The sequence below is a fragment of the Homo sapiens genome, chromosome 14 (assembly GCF_000001405.40).
Source record: "Homo sapiens chromosome 14, GRCh38.p14 Primary Assembly".
Classification (NCBI taxonomy): Eukaryota; Metazoa; Chordata; class Mammalia; order Primates; family Hominidae; genus Homo; species Homo sapiens.
In genome coordinates, this window is record NC_000014.9 from 66,633,680 (window position 1) to 66,654,563 (window position 20,884).

The 20,884-nt window shown below is 35.6% G+C and overlaps 1 protein-coding gene across 20 annotated transcripts in view, besides 4 other annotated features; it reads left to right on the plus strand.

Annotated features, from left to right (window-relative positions):
• GPHN (gephyrin) overlaps positions 1-20,884 on the plus strand; it is a 1,227,209-nt gene that overhangs the window by 125,533 nt on the left and 1,080,792 nt on the right. The window lies entirely within an intron of this gene.
• Positions 16,872-17,071: an enhancer, noted in NCBI's record as "active region_8571". NCBI's record gives its function as "activates an Ori minimal core promoter by ATAC-STARR-seq in GM12878 lymphoblastoid cells {active_cell/tissue: GM12878}" and the evidence as "EXISTENCE:reporter gene assay evidence [ECO:0000049][PMID:35858748]".
• Positions 17,082-17,141: an enhancer, noted in NCBI's record as "active region_8572". NCBI's record gives its function as "activates an Ori minimal core promoter by ATAC-STARR-seq in GM12878 lymphoblastoid cells {active_cell/tissue: GM12878}" and the evidence as "EXISTENCE:reporter gene assay evidence [ECO:0000049][PMID:35858748]".
• Positions 17,192-17,251: an enhancer, noted in NCBI's record as "active region_8573". NCBI's record gives its function as "activates an Ori minimal core promoter by ATAC-STARR-seq in GM12878 lymphoblastoid cells {active_cell/tissue: GM12878}" and the evidence as "EXISTENCE:reporter gene assay evidence [ECO:0000049][PMID:35858748]".
• Positions 17,332-17,421: an enhancer, noted in NCBI's record as "active region_8574". NCBI's record gives its function as "activates an Ori minimal core promoter by ATAC-STARR-seq in GM12878 lymphoblastoid cells {active_cell/tissue: GM12878}" and the evidence as "EXISTENCE:reporter gene assay evidence [ECO:0000049][PMID:35858748]".

Below are 20,884 nucleotides of genomic sequence, written 5' to 3' on the forward strand. Positions count from 1 at the left end.
GTTTTCATTTCTTTTGAATAAATACTTAAGTGTGACTTGCTGGATTGTATGGTAAGTTAAACGTCTTTGTCCAGACTGTCACAAAGGTGGTGCTGTACTCTTCCCATTGTATCCCATCAGATTGCTTATTATTTTGGGTTTCTCTCATTACTAATGATGTTTAAAGATTTAAATGTATGACTTGAGACTGTCAAACTACTAAAAGAAAACATTGCAGGATGCTTTAAGACATTGGTTTGGGAAAAGATTTAGTTTCTGGGTTTTCTTTCTGTTTTTTTTTTTTTTAATAATATCTATCTCTGTTTAATTTCTCATTCAGGTCATGAATTGTTTTCCTGGTTTTAAAATTATTTATATGTGTTCTTTTGTATCTTGTAGAGTTTCCTTAGGATCATTATTATAAACTCATTTTCAGGCATTTGACATATTTTCTTTTCTTTGGGGTCTGTTACTGGAGAATTATTGTGTTGTTTTGGAGGTGTCATGTTTCCCTGCCTTTTCATATTTCTTGTTCCCTTACATTGATATTTGCACATCTGGTGTAACTGTCACTTCTAATTTTATGGAGTAGCTTCTGTAAGGAAAGACTTTTTCCTGTAGATGTAGCTGTAATGTTTGTTGGGTAGAATGTTTTCGCATTGGTTCTCGGTGATTGCAATGGTGTAGTTTTTGTATGATACTTCACCTGTAATCAACAACTGCAGTGTCTGTGATTCCCTTAATGGCTTAGCCTGCAGTTGTTTGTGGAGATTGTGGTGAGACTTTGGTGGGGAAGGGGTCATCAGCCAGACTGATCCTCAGGCCTCTAGGTGTCACGTGGGGGCACCAACAGTGGTGGTTGTGTGTCCTGGGTGAGCCAATCTTAAGGTCCTAGGTGGGGAGCCAGTGGTAGCAGTGTCAGGCCCTTCCTGATTGGCCCTCGCATCCCTGGGCCGGGCTACACAGATTCTGGTAGTGGCACTGGTGGGTTGGTCTTCAGGTGCCCAGGCATCAGTGTGTGTTGGTGACTGGCCAGTCTGGCTGGTCCCCAGGCTCCTGGGTGAGGCGCACAGGAACCAGCTATAAGATTGCTTTTTTTAAAATTAAATATTAAGAGCCTTTCTTAAGCTGTGTGGTGTGGCTTTCTTCACTCCTGCTGCTGATTTACCACCATTGTTTATTAGATTGGGACAAGATCACTAACTACTATTAGACATGTACCCCATTTTTACTGTATATTGCTGTATAACAATGGTGGCTTAAAATAGCAAAAGTTTATTATCTCTTTCAGTTATGTAGGTGGACTGGATGTAGGTTGATAGATTTGTTTCCATCTCTGATGTGGTGTCTGCTGGATAGCTGGGGCATCTAAAATAGCCTTACTCACATGGTTAGCAGTTGGTGCTTGTTGCCAGCTAGAACTCAGCTGGAGCTGTTGACAATGTTCACATGTTCTCTTGAACATGGACTTTGTATGATTGTTTGGGCTGTCTCACTGCATGGGACCTAGATTCTAAACAGAAGTGTTATAGGTGACCAATTGGTAGCTGCAGTTTTCTTAAGACAAATCCTTAGATGTTACACTGCCACATTCCATTGGTCAAAAGAGGTCATAGAGCCAATTCAGATTTAACAGATAGGGGAAAGTCATGCTGAAAAAGAACACGTGGGATGAGATAATGTTGTGGCCCTTTTAAGAAATATAATTTACTTAATTTGAAATTTCCTGTGAAATTTTGAAACTTACTTTGAAACTTTGAAAGATTATTAGCAATTTTCCAAATAGTTTAACTTCATTATTAAGTGTATTCAAACTTCACAGAAGCCAGTATACAAAGGGAAATCCCAGATTTAAGTGATGAGTTTATATACCATTGTTTAACTGGTCCTCTGAGTGATCCTGCATGATTGATAATCCACACTACTGTCTCTCTAGACAGAAGACAGACTCAGTAAGGAAATGTTTTAAGTGGGTGTAATTCTGATATCTGCCATTACAAAAACAACGACGAAAAAGCAAATATTTCTTCTTATTTCTTATCAGCAAAAGAAAGGAATGAGGTGTACTGGAATTCCTAGCACTGTGATACTCAAAATGTCAGTTTTTAAGGCTTTTGTGTTTTAGGGAAACACTCAAAGAAAAAATTTATGTGAGTTTTCAGGCTGTTTACTTACATTCTTAAGAAAAAGTGATTTTAGGCCGGGCACGGTGGCTCACACCTGTAATCCCAGCACTTTGGGAGGCTGAGGCAGGCAGATCATAAGGTCAGGAGATCGAGACCATCCTGGCTAACACGGTGAAACTCCGTCTCTACTAAAGAAAAAAAAAGAAAAAGAAAAAGTGATTTTAGATCTTTTCAAAGATTTGTTTAATGTGTATTTGTTCATATTTTAATTTTTAAATGTAATTTCTCACTGGTAAATTTTCCTTAAAATATAAATTGCTCCCTGGATATTTGTTCATTATTTTGCAAAGTACAAAACTCCATTAGAGTTTCATTTAATAAATATTAAGTACAATATTGGGACCCCTTATTGGCTTATATAAATCATATAAACAGGTGACTGTTTATAGGATTCCTTTATTTTAGCTGCCAGTAAGAAGCCTGCCATGATTTTTTTATGTCTTTGGATTCCCCATCTTACCTGCCAGCTCTAGTATCTATTATTGGTAGCCATAAAAAATACTGACAATATAGACCAGTTTGAATTTTCTTAAATTTATCACATAGGTATACCATATCACCTAAAAAAGTTAATGTGATTACAAAGATAGCTAATTTATACTCAGTCAGCAGATTCCTTTATTTGGCTGTGTCTCCAAGATAAATTAAAAATAAAATAATAAAAATAAAAAACTATAGTTGAGTTATAATATTTTACTGACTGAAATTTAACTTCAGCCAAGCTTTAAAAAAATTACACAGTTTATATCAGTACATCTTTATTTTATGTTCTATACATGACTCCATGATAAGTGTTCAATGTGGATTTCAGAGGATCCCAAATGACACACACACATACACAATATTGTATTAAAAAGTCAGATTGGTAAGGACCCTGTAGAAATCAGGATGCTTGCAACATGGATTTCAGCAAAGTTTCTGAAAAGATAATTAACAAGCAGGCTGGTTTATAGAATATATAATAAGGCTCTAAAAACACAATTGGGTTTTAACATGGCAAGTTGATGTAGCCCAAACAGTAAATAATCTGGATAATCTATTATCTTGATTTTTAACTGTTTTGATTCAGATATTTCTTTGTAATGAAATTTTTGGCAAATTAAAATTTCACAACGCTACTCTTAGAACAGGATATAGGAATCTCCTCAGTTAACACCCGGACTCCTTTGTCAGATCTAACTGTAGTTGTAAGTATTTGCCTTGCTTACTTTGATGCTGCAGTCCTTGGTATGTATGATTTCCAAAGAATTGAAGAGTAAGTTTAATAATCTTGTCACTTTATTTAGCTTGGCTCTTCAATTCATTGGTTATTGATATTAAGATTTTGGTCTTTAGAATATAGGGTGTGATTTGACTTATAGTTAATAGGTTATACATGGCCATACTTAAATCTCTAATGATATGCCTTTGCACTTAGGATAAAATACAAAATCTTTGCAGTTATGTAACCCGGATTTTTAAATTTCAAGTTAGTTATCTTTACAAATTTTTATATCTTTCCACCTTATAATAAACATGAAACATTAATAGATTCAGGGAATGAAATCCTTTTCTTAAGAAGATAAGATTAAAATTTTATGTCATCAGAAAATATAATTTTAGGGTACTAACCAGTAAGATATAGATAAGGAATGAGACAACCTATAGATAAGCTTTACCTGCTTTATTAAGTCTAATGCATACTAGAGACTTTTTTATTCTTTGAGTTTCAGGAAGTTAAATTTGTTCCTCTGTCTCATAAGATAGTATTATAGTTTGTGAGAAAGTTCTAATTTAACAAACACTTAAAAGGACTACCATGTTTAAGGCATTTTCTTAAGTTCCAGAAATATAGTCTAGCTGAAAAATCAAAATCATGTGTATTATATATTATGAATATGTATAATACAGTGTAATGGGTAGAATAATGGGAGCATGTTTAAATACAGTGGGGAAACTGGTAAGTATGAGGTTAATTTTGTTTGTTGCTCTCTGACAAAAATCTTAGAAAGTCAGTGGCCTTTAACCCTCAGTACAACACCAAGGTCCATTGGATTCTGTTTTACTTTTGAGTTTCTGTTTTTGAGCAATTCTGAGAATTTATAAGGATTGATATTTTATGACTTTTATTATTTTCTAGGGCTCTTCCAAAGAGCAAAGAGAAAAAGTGTTTATTTCTGTACATATATATATATTTAAATTTTATATTTACCACCTGGATCTATTGGGCCTTTTTATAAATCTGTGATATATTTTTGTATCATAGTGTTCTTGTATTTCCTCCATCTTGAAACATTTTGCTGTTCTATTATTATTAGAATTATTTCATCATTACTTATCAGCTAGCTTTCTTCAACTGCCCTTAAATAGGGGGCTGAGGTGGGTGAATCACTTGAGATCGGGAGTTCGAGACCAGCCTGGCCAACATAGTGGAACCCTATCTCTACTAAAAATACAAAAATTAGCTGGGCATGGTGGCACATGCCTGTAATCTTAGCTACTCAGGAGGCTGAGGCAGAAGAATTGCTTGAACCAGGGAGGCAGATGTTGCAGTGAGCTGAGATGGCACCATTGCAATCCAGCCTGGGGGATAAGAGGGAAACACTATCTCAAAACAACAAGAACAACAACGACAACAACAACAACAAACAAACAATGAAATAAAAGGAAAATGGGAGAATGATGAAGTCATCTAGAAGAGTAGTGCAGTAGTTGAATAAATGGTCACTATTGCTTTATCCTTTAGTTTTATCAAGTTGTCCAAAATATTGCATGATCTTTCATGAATATATAAATAAAAGAAGATCAGAGACCCCATCTTTGTAGTCTCCTTTTCCAGTTGAGAATTCAGAATTTTTAATTTTTTTTTCAAACTTTTTTTTTGCTTGGGGGTAAATTTTCCCTTTAATTCTTCTTTTCCATAATGAAAAAGTTATGAAAATTGAGAAGAGACTTTAATATTTACTAGTCAAATCAGATATCAGGGCTCTAATGTTAATGGCAAAATTGGTCTTAGAAGCAGATCCTCATACTGAGTCATCAGATGACACATTCCAAGATGCATTTCTTCAGACAACTATCAATGTGTGAATAATGCATTTCTCAAAACAAAAAGCAGATAACGTATTCACATTCAGTTAGTGAAGAACAGGAAGGACCTTATCACACAGTATTTTGCAGCAAGAACCTGGACCATCTCATTTTGCTAAAAGGATAGGTAACATATTCTTTAATCTTTTATGATTTCGTGCTCAGATTCATTATATATGGTTCCTAAGTGGACAAATACTGAAGGTAAATATATATATATATATGCATAGGTGACTAGAAGGAAACAGATAATGTAGAAATGAAAAAATTATTAATTGGTAATTATAAGTGGTGTTATAAGTGTAAAAATGAAACTTTTGCAATTATCGAACAAAGAAGATGGCCATTTTCTCTTCATCAAAACTATAAGCTAAAGGTTTAAAAAAAATTCATCAGGTGTGCTGTATTTTGATGATGTCAGTTCAAGAAGAACAAGAATAATGATAAGTTAGATCCAATTAGAGATGTATTTGACATCTGGAATCAATATGTACAAGATGGATGTGTCTCTGGTTCATACATGACAATTGATGAAGCGTTAGTTGCATTTAGAAGACATTGAATACATATACATTCAAAACCAAAACTTTCTGATGAAATTTCACTGCTCCTTTATTTTTACTTCTGCAATATAAAATGACTTGAACATAAAAATAAAATTACATAGTCCATCTGACCCAGCTGGTGAATGGTGATGATTATTTTTTTTTTTGGCATTTGAAAAGTTAAGCTAGACCTTGAAGCTTATTTTAAAGTTTGGCAAATAAAAGGCAGAGGCAAGAGAATAGCTAGAAATATGTATGTGTGTACCCCCACATACACATATATATGTGTATATATGTAACATATAAACTATAGATGATATTTTATAAAATTTATATATCTAAATTGATTTATAAGTTTATACATCTACAAATTTTAACAGATATATACATATGAAATTTTGTCTGAAATTAAAGCTTGCCATTGGGAGATTTTATATGTAAATGTAAGTAGTGCTTATCGTATTTCTGTTTAGAAAGTAACTGGGTATTCATTGGAGATTAGGTTAGAGAAGATATTAAATGTAGGGATTTAATGAAGGATCACAGATGACATAGACTGGAGTAAAGGCATTTATAATAAAGAAGCTGAAACACCTAGGTGCAATGGATCATATTCTTTTGTTCATTCCTGAATTGATTTGTGTGTGAGATAATTTTTTGTGGCCTAAGAAATGGTTTTGGGCTGAGCATGGTGGCTCATGCCTGTAATCCCAGCACTTTGGGAGGCTGAGACACGCGGATCACTTGAGGTCGTGAGTTCAAGACCAGCCTGGCCAACATGGTGAAACTCCATTCCTACTAAAAATACAAAAAATTGGCTGGGCGTGGTGGCACGTGCCTGTAATCCCAGCTGTTCAGGAGGCTGAGGCAGGAGCATCACTTGAACCTTGGAGGCAAAGGTTGCAGTGAGCCAAGACTGCACCATTGCACTCCAGCCCAGGCAGCAGAATGAGACTCTGCCTCAACAAAACAACAACAAAAAAATGAAATGGTTTTGGAAGACATTTACAATAGTTTATTTCCTAGGTCACATTAAAAATGAACATGAAATGATATTAATTACTTAACAGTTTTTTTATCCTTTGGGGTTTTTTAACTATACCACTCTCTTATTGTTATACTATGAAATGTCCAAAGTGCTACTAGTACTTTTGTTTGAGGCAAATATTATTCAGAGACTAAGTTTGACCTTGAACATCACCTTGGATTTAATACAGGCTTTCAAGTAAATATTTGATTTTAGGAAAACCTATGTGTTGAGGCTTTCCTTCCAAGTAGAATGGAGTAGCTGGTAGCAAATTAGTACTTCTGCTTAGAGCAATGAGAAAATCAAGATAAAATATACATGTAACCATTCTGTATCAGAGTTGACCTTGGGGATGTATTTCAAGTCTCAGTTGTATCTGTAGTAAAGCTTATTCTTCCTCTGTTTTGTCCTAATTATATTGGTAATCACATTCAATATAAATTGACTAATTATTAAAATTGAATCACTAAGCTTGTCAGGCTGTATAAAACAAGTAAACCCCAATTATATGCTGCATTCAAGAGCCACATCTTAAATTAAATGGGAGGATGAAGCTAAAAGGATGAATAGATACACTGTCCTAACACTGAAAGGCAAACTGGTGTAGCTACTATATCCAATAAGGTAGACTATAAGATAAAGACTAAATATAGGTGGTCCATAACGTATGATGGTTCAACTTACAATTGTTTGACGTAACGGTGGTGCAAAAATGATACACATTCAGTAGAAGCTATGCTTTGAATTTTGATCTTTCTCTAGGCTAGTGATATGTAATAGAATACTCTATTGCAGTGTTGGGCAGTAGCAGCAAGCTGCAGTTTCCACTCAGCCAAGCAGTCATGAGGGTAAATAACCAACACTCTATAGTATATGAAATGTATTTTTGACTTAACAATATTTTTCACTTACAGTGGGTTTCTCAGGATATAGCCTCATTATAAAGTTAGGAGAATTTGTATAAAAGATGGATGTTTTATAATAATAAAAGGGTAATTGTATCAGGAAGTTTTCACTATCCTAAATCTGCATGCACATAGTGAGATAGTATATATAAAGCAAAAATTGATAGAAGCAAAAGAACTGGACAAATCCCCAAATATACTGGGAGAATTTATGATGCTGTCAGTAGTACCAACCATCAATAGCTGATAGAACAAGTAGATGACAAAAAAAAAAAAAGAGAGAGGTAGAGCACATTTTTACAGCAAGAGTAATAAGTGACTTAATTTACAACTATATAACATTTCACTGGAAAATATGAGAGTACACATTCTTTTGAAGTTCAGATGGAAGATTAATCAAAATTGGCCAAATAGGGGATATAGATCAATAGGTATAAAGATTTAGTGCAATTAAAATGTCAAATAGGTTTTGGGTTTTTTAAAGTAAAAAAATGACTATCTCTTCTGAAATTTGTTTAGAAATTCAAAGGATCAAGGATAATCAAGGCAATCTTAAGGAGTAACAAAATAAGTGTAAGAGAGAGTACCAATTGTCATCATTTTCTGTAACACAATACTAGAGTTATTAAAAACAGTGGTATTGATGCAAGAATAGGCTGGTGCAAGAATAGGCTAGTGTAACAGGAGAGAGTATCCAGTGTGGTAGGCAGAATAATGGCCTTCAAAGATATCCAGCCCTAATTCGTGGTACCTGTGAATATGTCACATTATAAGGCAAAAGGAACTTTGCAAATACAGTTAAGGTTACAGACAATTAAGATAGTAAAATGATCCTGGGTTTTCTGAGTGGGCCCAGTCTAATCACATGAACCCTTAAGAGCAGAGAAGTTTTTCCAGCTGAAAGCAGAATAGAGATGCAGCAGAAGGGGGAGTCATTGATTCCAAGCATGAGAAAGATTCTGTGCACTATTATTGATGAGATTTAAGGGCCTATGTAAAAGACTGGAGAGAGGCCTCTGGTTGCTAAACATAGCCTCTAGCTTAAGTCAGCAAGGAAATAGGGACATCAATCCTGTAACCAAAGGAACTGAAGGAACTGGACTGTGTGAAGTAGAATCTTTACTGAGCCTTAAGAGTACGAGCTCAGCAGGCAGACATTTTGATTTTTGTTTTTTTTTTTTTTGAAACTGGGAGTAGAAAAATTAGCTGAGCTAACCTGGATTTCTGACTTGTAAATTGTGAATAGTAAAATTGTGTTGTTTTGAGCTGCAAAGTTTGTTCTAATTTGTTACAGAAGTAAAAGAAAACTATTACTTCCAGGAACAGGTCTGCATATATGCTTCTACCTGATTTATGACTGATTTTTTTAAGTATAATGGAGAAAAGAATTTTATTTCAATTCAATATCCTTATAGAAAATATGCTTATTGACATACATAAAAATCCATTTTAGGTACATCATAGATCCAACTATGAAAGATTTAAAAAATAAAGCTTTTAGATGGAAACATGGCAGAATATCTTCGTGATCTTGGGTTAGGGAAAGATTTCTTAATAATAGGAAAAATTGATACATTGGATCACATTAAAAATAAGAACTTTAGAAATCTAAAAACTGAAAGGTAAATCATAGAATGAAAGAAGATACTTGTAATACATATATCCAACAAAGGACTCATATTCCATAACCCAATTTTAAAAATGAATAAAAGACTTGAAAAGGCACTTCACAAATAGTATATGTTCAATATGAACATGAAAAGATACTCAACATAAAAAATCATTAGGGAAATGCAAGCTAAAACCACAGCAAAATATTTCTACACACCCACCAGAGTGGCTAAGTAAAAAAGATGCCTTTTCCAAGTGTTTGTAAGGAAGTTGTATAGTTGGATATCTGATACACAAATTGGTACTACCACTTTGGGAAACTGGGAGTGTTTACTAAACCTGAACATATATGTTATCTATTACCCAGGAATTTTAGTTGTAGGTATATATCTAAAAGGAAAGTTTGCTTAAGTTTACCAAAGGACATGTGCAGGAATGTTGATACTATTTGTAATGACCTAAATTGGAAACAATCCAAATGTCTACTTATAGTAGAATGGATAACTAAATCATGGTACATTCATAGCATGGTATACTGTACAATGAGAATGAACAGCATACAATTAAATTTAAACATAGATGAATCTCATAAACTTAATGTTCTGCAGAGGCATCAGATACAAAAGGAATGCCTATGGTATGATTCATTTTTATAAAGTTCAGAAACAGACAAAATTAATATATAGTGTTAGAAGTCAGTATTTCCTTCTGTTGTGGGTAGAGCAATGACTGGGAGAAAGTATGAGGGGAGTTTTTTTTTTTTTTAATCAAAGATTTAGACACTGCTTTCAAGCTCTATATGTGTTTGAGGAATTGGTGTTTTCACTCTTTTTATTCTTTTTCTTATGTAGATAATAACTATAGTTAATTCACTGTTTTACTTCGATCAGTTTAATAATACTGATTATGTTCACGTTTATTTGAGTCTTGTACCTGTACCAACCAGGTAGATAGGAGAAGTATATGCATAATCAAAGACAGCCAACTGAGCCAGCTGAGATTTATTTACAAGTGATAGCTTAATTATTTGGGGGCTTTACATTAGTTCTTTCAATTAATCAGTTTTTTGCTTTCTTGTCTATTCATTGGAGTTTACTTCTAAAGCTACCTGTCCTTTGTTGACATTTGGATTTCTCTGTTTAATTATTTAGATTTGGGATTAGTTCTGTAAAATTCACAGAACGCCTTGGGTTACACTTGAGTTTGGGAACAAGTAATTACAAGTTATATTAAGATTGTAAATGATCTGTATACTGCAGACATCATTCTTCTCAAATTTCTCTTTAAGTATGTCTAAATTATAACATAAACCAGTGGTTTAGTATGCTTTTTTAGATACTGATGATGCTTTGTGAGACTAATTTTATTCTCTACCCACATCAGTATCTTTTCTGATTGCCTTGATGAAATTAGATAAACCTTTATCTATGCCACCCACTACCAAAGATGTTTCACTTTTCCTTCTATCCTTTTAAGGGTATTTATCACAATGTCAAAGCAGGAAAAATAGTAATAAACATAGTTATAGAAATAATAACAGCAAATGGTTATAACATGTCAATCAGTATTTAAAGCACTTTATTGACTTATTTAACATATGAAACAACTGAGAGAGGTGTGATTGTTAGCTTAATTTTAAACATGAGAAAGAAAGTCTCAGACCACAGGTTAACTAACTTGCTGAAGGTCACACATCTATTAAATGTATGTGTCAGAATTAAATCCAGATTACCTAGTCTTTGTCCTTAACCACTGTGCCAGTAAAAGACAGATAAGGAGATTTTCAAAGTTAAAATTCAGTCACTAACTAAACAAATCTGGGATTATAAGTTTTTCAAAGTTTTGAATAAGCTAATGATTATATTTAAATAGTAATAATTTTTAGGTAAATTTTTTTATAATTGCATATTTAAAATACTAATTTAAATTTTGTAGTAAGGCATGTAAATGTTGTTTGCCATACTGTTTCATGTTTGGAAGTCTGTTTATGTTTATCCTTTCTTTCCCAATATATAGGAAAAGGTAATTCATGGGCCATCCTAAAGGAGTGTGTTAGGTTGTTCTGTAGCTTTTTGTAGTAGTATATTTGTATGTAATGAAGTGCATTTTTAAATTGCACTTGTAATTTTTAATTGCTTCTTAGAAATTCCTGAATATTTAGGAACTTCATAAAAATATTCTGGAAGCAAGCATTACCTGGATAACATGGTACTTAAAAACCTTTCATTATCAAGGAAATAAAAAATAGAAAAGAATGTTGGTATGAATTATAAGAATGGAAATAATCTAACAGATATTTATCTAATTACATTTATCCAGATGAGTTTTTCTGATTTGCTTATAATACATCACAACAACATCTCAGCCTGTCTCCAGGTTGGTACATCTTTATTTAAAAATTTGGGCCAGGTGCTGTGGCTCACGTGTGTAATCCCAGCGCTTTGGGAGGCTGAGGCAGATGTATTACCTGAGGTAAGGAGTTCAAGACCAGCCTGGCCAACAAGGCGAAATCCCTCCTCAGTATACTAAAAATACAAAAAGTTAGCCAGCCGTGGTGGTGGGCACTTGCAATCCCAGCTACTTGAGAGGCTGAGGCACAAGAATTGCTTGAATCTGGGAGGCGGAGGTTGCAGTGAGCCAAGATCATGCCATTATACTCCAGCTTGGGCGACAGAGTGAGACTCCATTTCAAAAAAAAAAAAAAAGAAAATTTTTTTTAAAGTTATTTAAACTGATTTTATATGCACCATTTATTTATAACAATTTTATTTTATTTTATAATGTTTTACATTTGTGTCTCTCATTAGATACTCAGACTAACCCTATGATCTCATAGGGGAGATATAATTGTCCCATTGTTTTTACAAGGGGCCTGATGACCAGAGGTTAAAATGTATGTACAGAGTCACTCTACAAATATGCCATATAATTATCATTTGAAACCACATCTTCCGTTCTCTGATACAATGCTTTTCCCATTGCTCCAGGTCACTTCTCATATGATTTGAAAACCAACCAACCAATAACAACTTTACCTATGATTAGAATCCCATCATTTAAAGAGTGACAATTTAGTTACAAAAGATTAAAAAGAATTCAACAGCAACAAAAAAAAACTAGATTAAAATTGGGCAAGGACTTGAATACACATTTGTATTATACAAAGAAGATACTCAATGGCCAACAAGTATTTGAAAAGATGCTCAACATCTCTAATCATTAGGCAAATGCAAATCAAAACCACAGTGAGATATTACCTCACACACCTAAGAATGGCTGCTGTAAAAAAAGAAAACAAAACCAGAAGAATCCTGAAATAACAAATGTTGGTGAGGATATATAGAAATTGGAACCTTTGTGTATTGTTGGTGGGGATGTAAAATGGTACATCCATTATGAAAAACAGTATAATGGTTCCTCAAAAAGTTAAAAATAGAATTATGATTGTACAATTCCAAGAATTGAAGGTAGGGTCTCAAAGAGATACTGATATGCCCATGTTCATAGCAGCATTATGCAGAACAGCCAAAAGGTGGAAGGAATGAATAGATAAAACAATATATATATAAAATAGATAAAACAATATATATCTTGAGGGCGTTATTCTAAATGAAATAAGCCAGCAAGAAGAAGACAAATATTGTATAATTCCACTTACATGAGATATTTATTGTTGTCAAATTCATAAAAACAGAATGTAGAATGGTGGTTACCAGGGGTTCAGTGGAGTAGGAAATGGGGAGCTGTTGTTTAATGGGTATAGAGTTTCAGTTTTACAAGATGGTGTTTGGTCACACAACAGGGTAATTATATTTAACAGTACCAAACTGTATTCTTAAGAGGGATTAAGGTGGTGAATTTTATTTTGTGTGTCTTTTACCACAATTATTATTTTTAAAATTTTATTTTTACAGTGACACGGTCTCACTCTGTCACCCAGGCTGGAGTGCAATGGCTCTATCATGGCTCACTGTAGCCTTGAGCTCCCAGGCTGAAGCAATCCTCTTTCCACAGCCTCCCAAGCAACTGGGACCACAGGCACATGCCACCATACCTGGCTTTTTTTTTTTTTTTAATATTTTTTTTTAAAGTCAGGGTCTCACTATGTTGCCCAGGCTGGTCTTGAATTCCTGGTCTCAGGTCATCTTCCTGCCTTGGCCCCCCAAAGTTCTGGGATTACAGGCATAAGCCACCACACCCAGCCAAATGTTTTTTAATTTTAAAAATAAAATAAATTGTATAGGTAGAATTAAAAATACATAAATCAGATCATGCCAACCCTTTAAAGTCATCTAGTGTGCTTAAGATAAAATTTAAAATCCTTTTAAAAAAGATTTAAAAATGTATAGTAAATGCCCACATGATTCTCACAGTTAGGTGTGCTTCTTTCATTGTATTAAGGATGTATAAATTTTATAAGACTAAATATCGTGAGATATTTATTATTGAATATATAGCAATTCAAAATACAGTAGTCCCTCCTTTTCTGCAAGGGATACATTCCAAGAACCCTAGTTGATCCCTGAAATCACAGATGTTACTGAGCCCTGTATATACCTTGTTTTTTCATTTATATACATACCTATGATAAAGTTTAACTTATAAGTTAGGCACAGTATGAGATTAACAATAACTAATAATAAAATAGAATAATTATAATAATATAAGTTATGTGAATGTGTTCTCTGTCACCCTCTCTCATAATATTATATTGTACAGTACTCACCTGGTTTTAGACATCAGTTGATCATAAGTAACTGAAACTCTGTAAAGAGAAACCACACATAAGGGAGACTACTGTATTTTATGAAATATGTATGTGCATATTAAATGGAAAATGTTTTAAAAATATTCAAATGTTAAAACATTGCAAACTGATTTAAAGATCCACTCACAAAGGCAATCAGCTTGCAAATTCAAAGGAAGTTGCTATTACCTGTATTTTCTCAGTTATACCACAGTGGAGCTATTCATAATGTATCAGAAAGCTAGGCGTCACAGTTGGATATTATGTATATAAATCAGTTGATTTTTGACTCAAATAACTGAAGTGTGTTTTGGAGATAAGTTTTATGATTGGAATTGGAAATGACTGAATTTTGTGGAGCAAAGCTTTTAACTGTGTTCACTTGGAGATATTCTATAGTGCTTTGACTCTGGTTTACTACTGTGCCCAGTGGGGTAGATATTTTTTTAAAAAGACACGTATTCAGGAAAAAATTTTATTTATAAAGATTACAATATTTGCTCTTGAAAATAAGAAATAATGTTAGTCAAAGAAGCCCTGAATATTACTGTAAATCATTGTACATGTATTAGTCCTTATGGATTTCTTTGCACTAGTAAAAATATAATTATTCATTTTATTTATATAAGGTCTTTGTGCTGCTGTAAGAAAATACCACCAATGGTAATTTACAGTCAGGCACTGCATATTTCAATCAGTGGTGGACAACATGTGCAAAGGTGGTTGTAGAAGATTATAATACAGTGTATTTACTGTATTTTCTGTGTTTAGATAGGTATTTACCACTGTGTTACAGCTGCCTACAGTAACATCTTCTATAGGTTTGTAGCCTAGGATCAATAGGCTATACTATATAGCCTAGCTGTGTAGTAGGCTATACTATTTAGATTTGTGTAAGAATAGACTGTGAGGTTCACACAATGATGAGATCACCTAATGTCATATTTCTGAGAACATATCCCTGTTGTTAAGCAATGCATGACTGTATAAGAAACACTCAATAAATAATGTATGGTAGAAGGTGATTAAATACCAAAATAAATGAAAACCATTAAAGTGGGCTTAAAAACAAAGTCTCATAATTTTAGTTACTCATCACATAAAAATGCTTTAGTTGTTGCCTGTTCCCTAACAGATAAGTGAATGTTCACCTAAGGAGACTCAGGAGAAATCCCCAATACTGAGACAAACCCAGAGATTGAGGGATAACTGTTCTGATTCAGAGGGTTTTGTTTGATCTTACCCCTAAACTTTACAATGAAAGTATGTTTGGTAATACAGTTAATATAAAAATCAGGGTTGGCTGGGTGTGGTGGCTCACGCCTGTAATCCTAGCACTTTGGGAGGCCGAGGCCGGTGGATTGCCTGAGCTCAGGAGTTCGAGACCAGCCTAGGCAACATGGTGAAACCCTGTGTCTACTAAAATACAATCGAAATTAGCAGGGCGTGGTGGCGTGCGCCTGTAGTCCCAGCTACTCGGGAGGATGAGGCAGGAGAATCGCTTGAACCTGGGAGGTGGAGGTTGCAGTGAGCCAAGATCACGCCACTGCACTCCAACCTGAGCAACAGAGTGAGACTCCATCTCTTAAAAAAAAAAACAAAAACAAGCAGGGGTCCCCGACCCCCGGACCATGGACCAGTAGCAGTCCGTGACCTGTTGAGAACTGGGCTGCACAGCAAGAGGTGAGCAGCAGATGAGCAAGTGAAGCTTCATCTGTATTTACAGCCACTCCCCACTGCTCACATTAGCACCTGAGCCCTGCCTTCTGTTAGATCAGAGGCAGCATTAGATTCTTATTGGAGTGTGAACCCTATTGTGAACTACACATGTGAGAGATCTAGGTTGTGCACTCCTTATGAGAATGTAATGCCTGATGATCTGAAGTGGAGCTGAGGCAATGATGCTAGCGCTGGGGAACAGCTGCAAATACAGATTAACATTAGCAGAGAGGTTTGACTGCACAGAGACCATAGTAAATCAATTACTTGCAGACTCATTTCAAAACCCAATCAGTGAGTGGCAGGTGGCAAGCTGCATCTGACGTCAAGCTTTATAGTGGCAAGTGAGGTGATGTACTTCAATTGTACAGCTGCATCTGGTGGTAACGCTTTAAGTCAGAATCCAGCACTTCTTTTAATTCATGAGTGGCCTGCTTATTATTTTATTTACCACTTTCATCTGCTTCTCTTTCCTGCATTACACACTTTTCTTAGTCAGAGTTTTGGTAAACCCACCAGCTAACCCTACCCAAAATAAGTAAAAGCCAAACATCACTGGAGAGCTTCTTTGAAAAGGGAGACAGACCCAATGATGAGATAGCAGAAGACTCTAAGACTGCCAACCAAAAAAAAAAAAAAGCTGCATTTAAAAGAAAATACCGAGAGTCTTACATAAGTTATGGGTTCATTGCAGTAGGTGATTTCACATTCTCAGAGCCTGCTTTGTGTAATATGTGGTGACTGGCTGTCCAAAGCCATGAAACCTTCAAAACTGCTTCACCACATGGAGACTACACGCCCTGCATTAGAAGACAAGCCTTTGGAGTTTTTCAAAAGAAAAGAACATGAACATAAAGAACAGAAGCAATTACTAAAGGCCACTATTTCATCAAATGTGTCTCCACTGAGACCATCATTCTTAGTGGCTAACCACATTGCTAAAGCTAAGGAGCCCTTTACATGAAGAGTTGATCCTGCCTGCTGCTAAGGACATATTTCATGAACTTTTAGGAGAGGCTGCAATTCAAAAGGTGGCATATCTTCCCCTTTGAGCTAGCACCCTAACTAGACGAATCAATGAAATAGCAGAGTACATGGAGGCACAACTGTTAGAGAGGATTAATGAATCACTGTGGTATGCAATCCAGGTTGATGGGTCTACCAGTGTTGACAACAAGGGAACAATGCTTGTTTTTGTATGATGTATTTTTCAGGAGGATATACATGAGGAAATGTTTTGTGTGCTTTTGTTGCCAACCAGCACCACAGCTGCAGAACTATTCAAGTCTTTGAATGATTACATATCAGGAAAACGAAACTGGTCATTTTCTGTCAGCATATGCACAGATGGAGCAGCTACCATTACTTGACAGCTTTTTGGTTTCACTACTTGGGTCAAAGAGGTCGCTTCTGAATGTGAGCCTACACACCCTGTTATCCTTAGAGAAATGCTGGCTAGCCAAAAAATGTCACCTGAACTTAACAGCATTTTACAGGATGTGATTAAAATTATCAACCACATTAAAATACATGCCCTTAACTCACATCTGTTTGCGCAGCTCTGTGAGGAGATGGACACAGAGCACACACATCTTCTCTAATACACAGGAGTGAGATGGTTTTCTAAAGGTAGATCACTGGCCAGAGTTTGAGTTACAAGAGCCGCTTCAGAGATTTCTTTTAGGAGAATAGTTCTTTTCTTTTAGAAAAACAATCACCACTGGCAGCACATTTCAGTGACACAGAAAGGGTCCCAAAACTTGCTTACTTGTGTGACCTATTCAACCTGCACAGAGAACTCGATCTGTCGCTTCAGGGGAGAACAACAAGTGTGTTCAAGTCGGCAGATAAAATGGCTCCATTCAAAACCAAACTGGAATTATGGGGGTGATGAAGGAACATTGGGATTTCTGACATGTTTCAAGCATTAGCAGAGATTTTGAGAGACTGAGCCAGGGCTGCCTTTCTCTCAGCTAGTGTATGATCACCTATCTCGGCTTTCAAAAGAGTTGAGTATTACCTCCCAACCACAAAAGACCCCCGAACTGGAAGGAATGGATTTGTGACCCATTCCTGAATAAGTCAGGTGAATTGCCTTTGTCCTTGCTAGAAGAGGATCCACTGCTTGACTTCAAATTATGGTGGCCTTAAAAGTATGTTTGAGACAACTTCAAATCTCCATATGTTCTAGACTAAAGTCAAGGCGGAATATCCTGAGATTGCCACAAAAGCACTAAAAAGCCTGCTTCCATTGCCAACATCCTGTCTTTGTGAAGCAGGGTTTCCTGCAGTGACAGCAACCAAAATGAGATTATGGAGCAGACTGAATATAAGCAACACATTTTGGGCGTCACTATCTCCCATCACCCCGAGATGGGACCATCTAGTTGCAGGAAAACAAGCTCAGGGCTCTCACTGATTCAACATTATGGTGAGTTGTATAATTATTTCATAATATATTACAATGTAATAATAGAAATAAAGTACACAATAAATATAATGTGCTTGAATCATCCTGAAACCACTTCCCCACCCCCAGTTCACGGAAACATTGTCTTCCATGAAACTAGTCCCTGGCGCCAAAAAGGTTGGGGAATGCTGAAAAATGAAATCCATCTTTCTTTGCATTCTTTCAAAAGATTGAGTCTTTCAGAATATAGAGGGGGGCCTATAATGGGATATATTCATTAACTCATGCAACAAATATTTATTAAACACCTATCATATGCCAAACATTGTGGTTACCAGGGAGATAGAGTGATAAACAATATAGACATTTGCAAAATATTCACTTCATTCCCCTATTGATAAGCATTGATGCATCCTGTGTCATATAGAAAAGGAGGAAAATTATTATTCGGTAATATTATAGAACTTAATGCAATTTAAGCAAATGCGTGTATACAAATGTGTATATTTTGTATATATTTGATATAATATACCATATATATATAATATCATTCTATGTAACCTACCACATGTTCAGAATCTGCTGCAGAGATTTTTTCTGTGACACAAAGAAACATTAAATGCTTATGCTTCTTTTGTTTTTTGTGGGTTTTTTTTTCTGTTTTTAAACTAGGGATTTGGTTATCCTGCAAATTATGAATTTACTTTTGTTTTAATATTCTAAAGCTATACATTAATATTATTTGCCACATATTGGCTGAGAGCTATTGAATCCTTTATAGTGTAACATTCTTGGCCTAACAGTCTGCATTTCCCAGGCTGCCAGCAAAGCAATTCGGTGGGGCAATTGTGGTCATGCAGGGGCCTTGTGAGCGGTTGGCAGAGAGAGAAGCATACAGATCAGACAGACTCCTATCCTGCAGGAAAGGTAGCCCTCCTTTCTCCCATCCCAGCAGTCAGCAGGAGGTAGAGCCGCTCAGAGCTATATGAAGAGCCTTTGGGAATAGGTGCCTATGGTTATGTTTTGCTGCAGCTGCCCTATATTCACAACCTCCTGCATTCCATGCAGGCTTGACCTCTGCCTCTGCCTATTCTCTGGGCAGTTCTCCCTGTCAATTCAGCTGTCTGGGGGTCATGGGATCCCAGAGGTAGCTAGGATGCCAGTGTGTTTCTCTGCAGTTCCTTCACTTACACCTTTCTTAGGAACTGTTGAGGGCTGGGAGCTGGTCCTGGTACTCGGCAATGTTTTGCAGTGTTCCCAGCATCCTCCCTCTTCTACCTCAGTGTCAGTAGTACCTTTCTATCAACTTTCAGTGTTTTCTTTAAAAAGAAAGTGTGATGGTTTACTGGATATTTTGGGTTCAGTGAAGTGGGAGAGGCACTTTCTGGCTGCATTTAGTCAGCCATCCTGCTCCATAGTCATTGGAATTATCTTTCTAAATTTTATTTTCTGATTGTTGTTCCTGGTATATAAAATTATAATTGATTTTTTAATTAAACTTTTTAGATAGTTGTAGAATTACATGTGGTTAAAATATTTTCTAAAGAGAGATCCTCTGTACCCTCTATCCAGTTTCCTCAAATGGTAATATTTAGCAAAACAGTACAGTGTCACAATCAGGAGTTTGACACTGACCCAGTGAAGATAAAGGACATTTTCATCAACACAAGGATCCCTCAATTTGCCTATTTGTAAAATACCCACTTCCCTTTCCCCATCTCCCACCTGAACTCCTTGTAAACACTAATTTGTTCTCCATTTCTATAATATTGTTAAATCAAGAAACTTATATAAGTGGAATCACACCACATGTAATCTTTTGGGGTTGTGTACTTTCTATTAGCATAATTATCTAGATATTTATCCATACTGTATATCAGGCGTTGGCCACATTGTATGACAGAGAAGTATTCCATGGTATGGATGTGCCACAGTCTAACATTCACTGATTAAGGGAAATCTAGGTTGCTTTCAATTGTGGGTAAATACAAAACTACTGTAACCCCCTATACAGGTTTTGGGTATTAACACAGTTTTCTTTTCTCTGGGATAAATGTCCAGGGGTGCAATAGCAGAGTTGGCATGGTAATTGCCTATTTAATTCTTAAAATAACTGCTAAAATGTATGCAGAATGACTGTAAAATTGTGCATTCCAACCAGTGAACTATGAATGATCCAATTCTTTCCATCTTCACCAGCATTTTTTAGTCACTATTTTAAAAAATGTAGCTATTGTTATAGATGTGTGATGATATCTCATTACATTTTTTTGTTTGTTTTTGTTTTTTTGAGACAGTCTTGCTCTGTCACCCAGGCTGGAGTGCAGTGGCACGTGTGACTCAGTCTCCCAAGTAGCTGGGATTACAGATGTGCGCCACCATGCCCAGCTAATTTTCATATTTTAAGTAGAGGTGAGGTTTCAGCATCTATGGTCTCGAACCCCTGGCCTCAAGTGATCCGCCTGCCTCAGCCTCCCAAAGTGCTGGAATTACAGGTGTGAGCCACCACGCCTGTTCTTATTATGATTTTAATTTACATTTTCCTAATGCCTAAGATGTTGAATGTATTTTCCATCTGCAAATCCTCTTGAATGAAATGTCTCTTTATACCTTTTGCTCATTTTCTGCTTTTTTTGTTATTGTCATGTTCGAGGGTTCTTTATATTGTCTGCATGCCAGTGTTTTC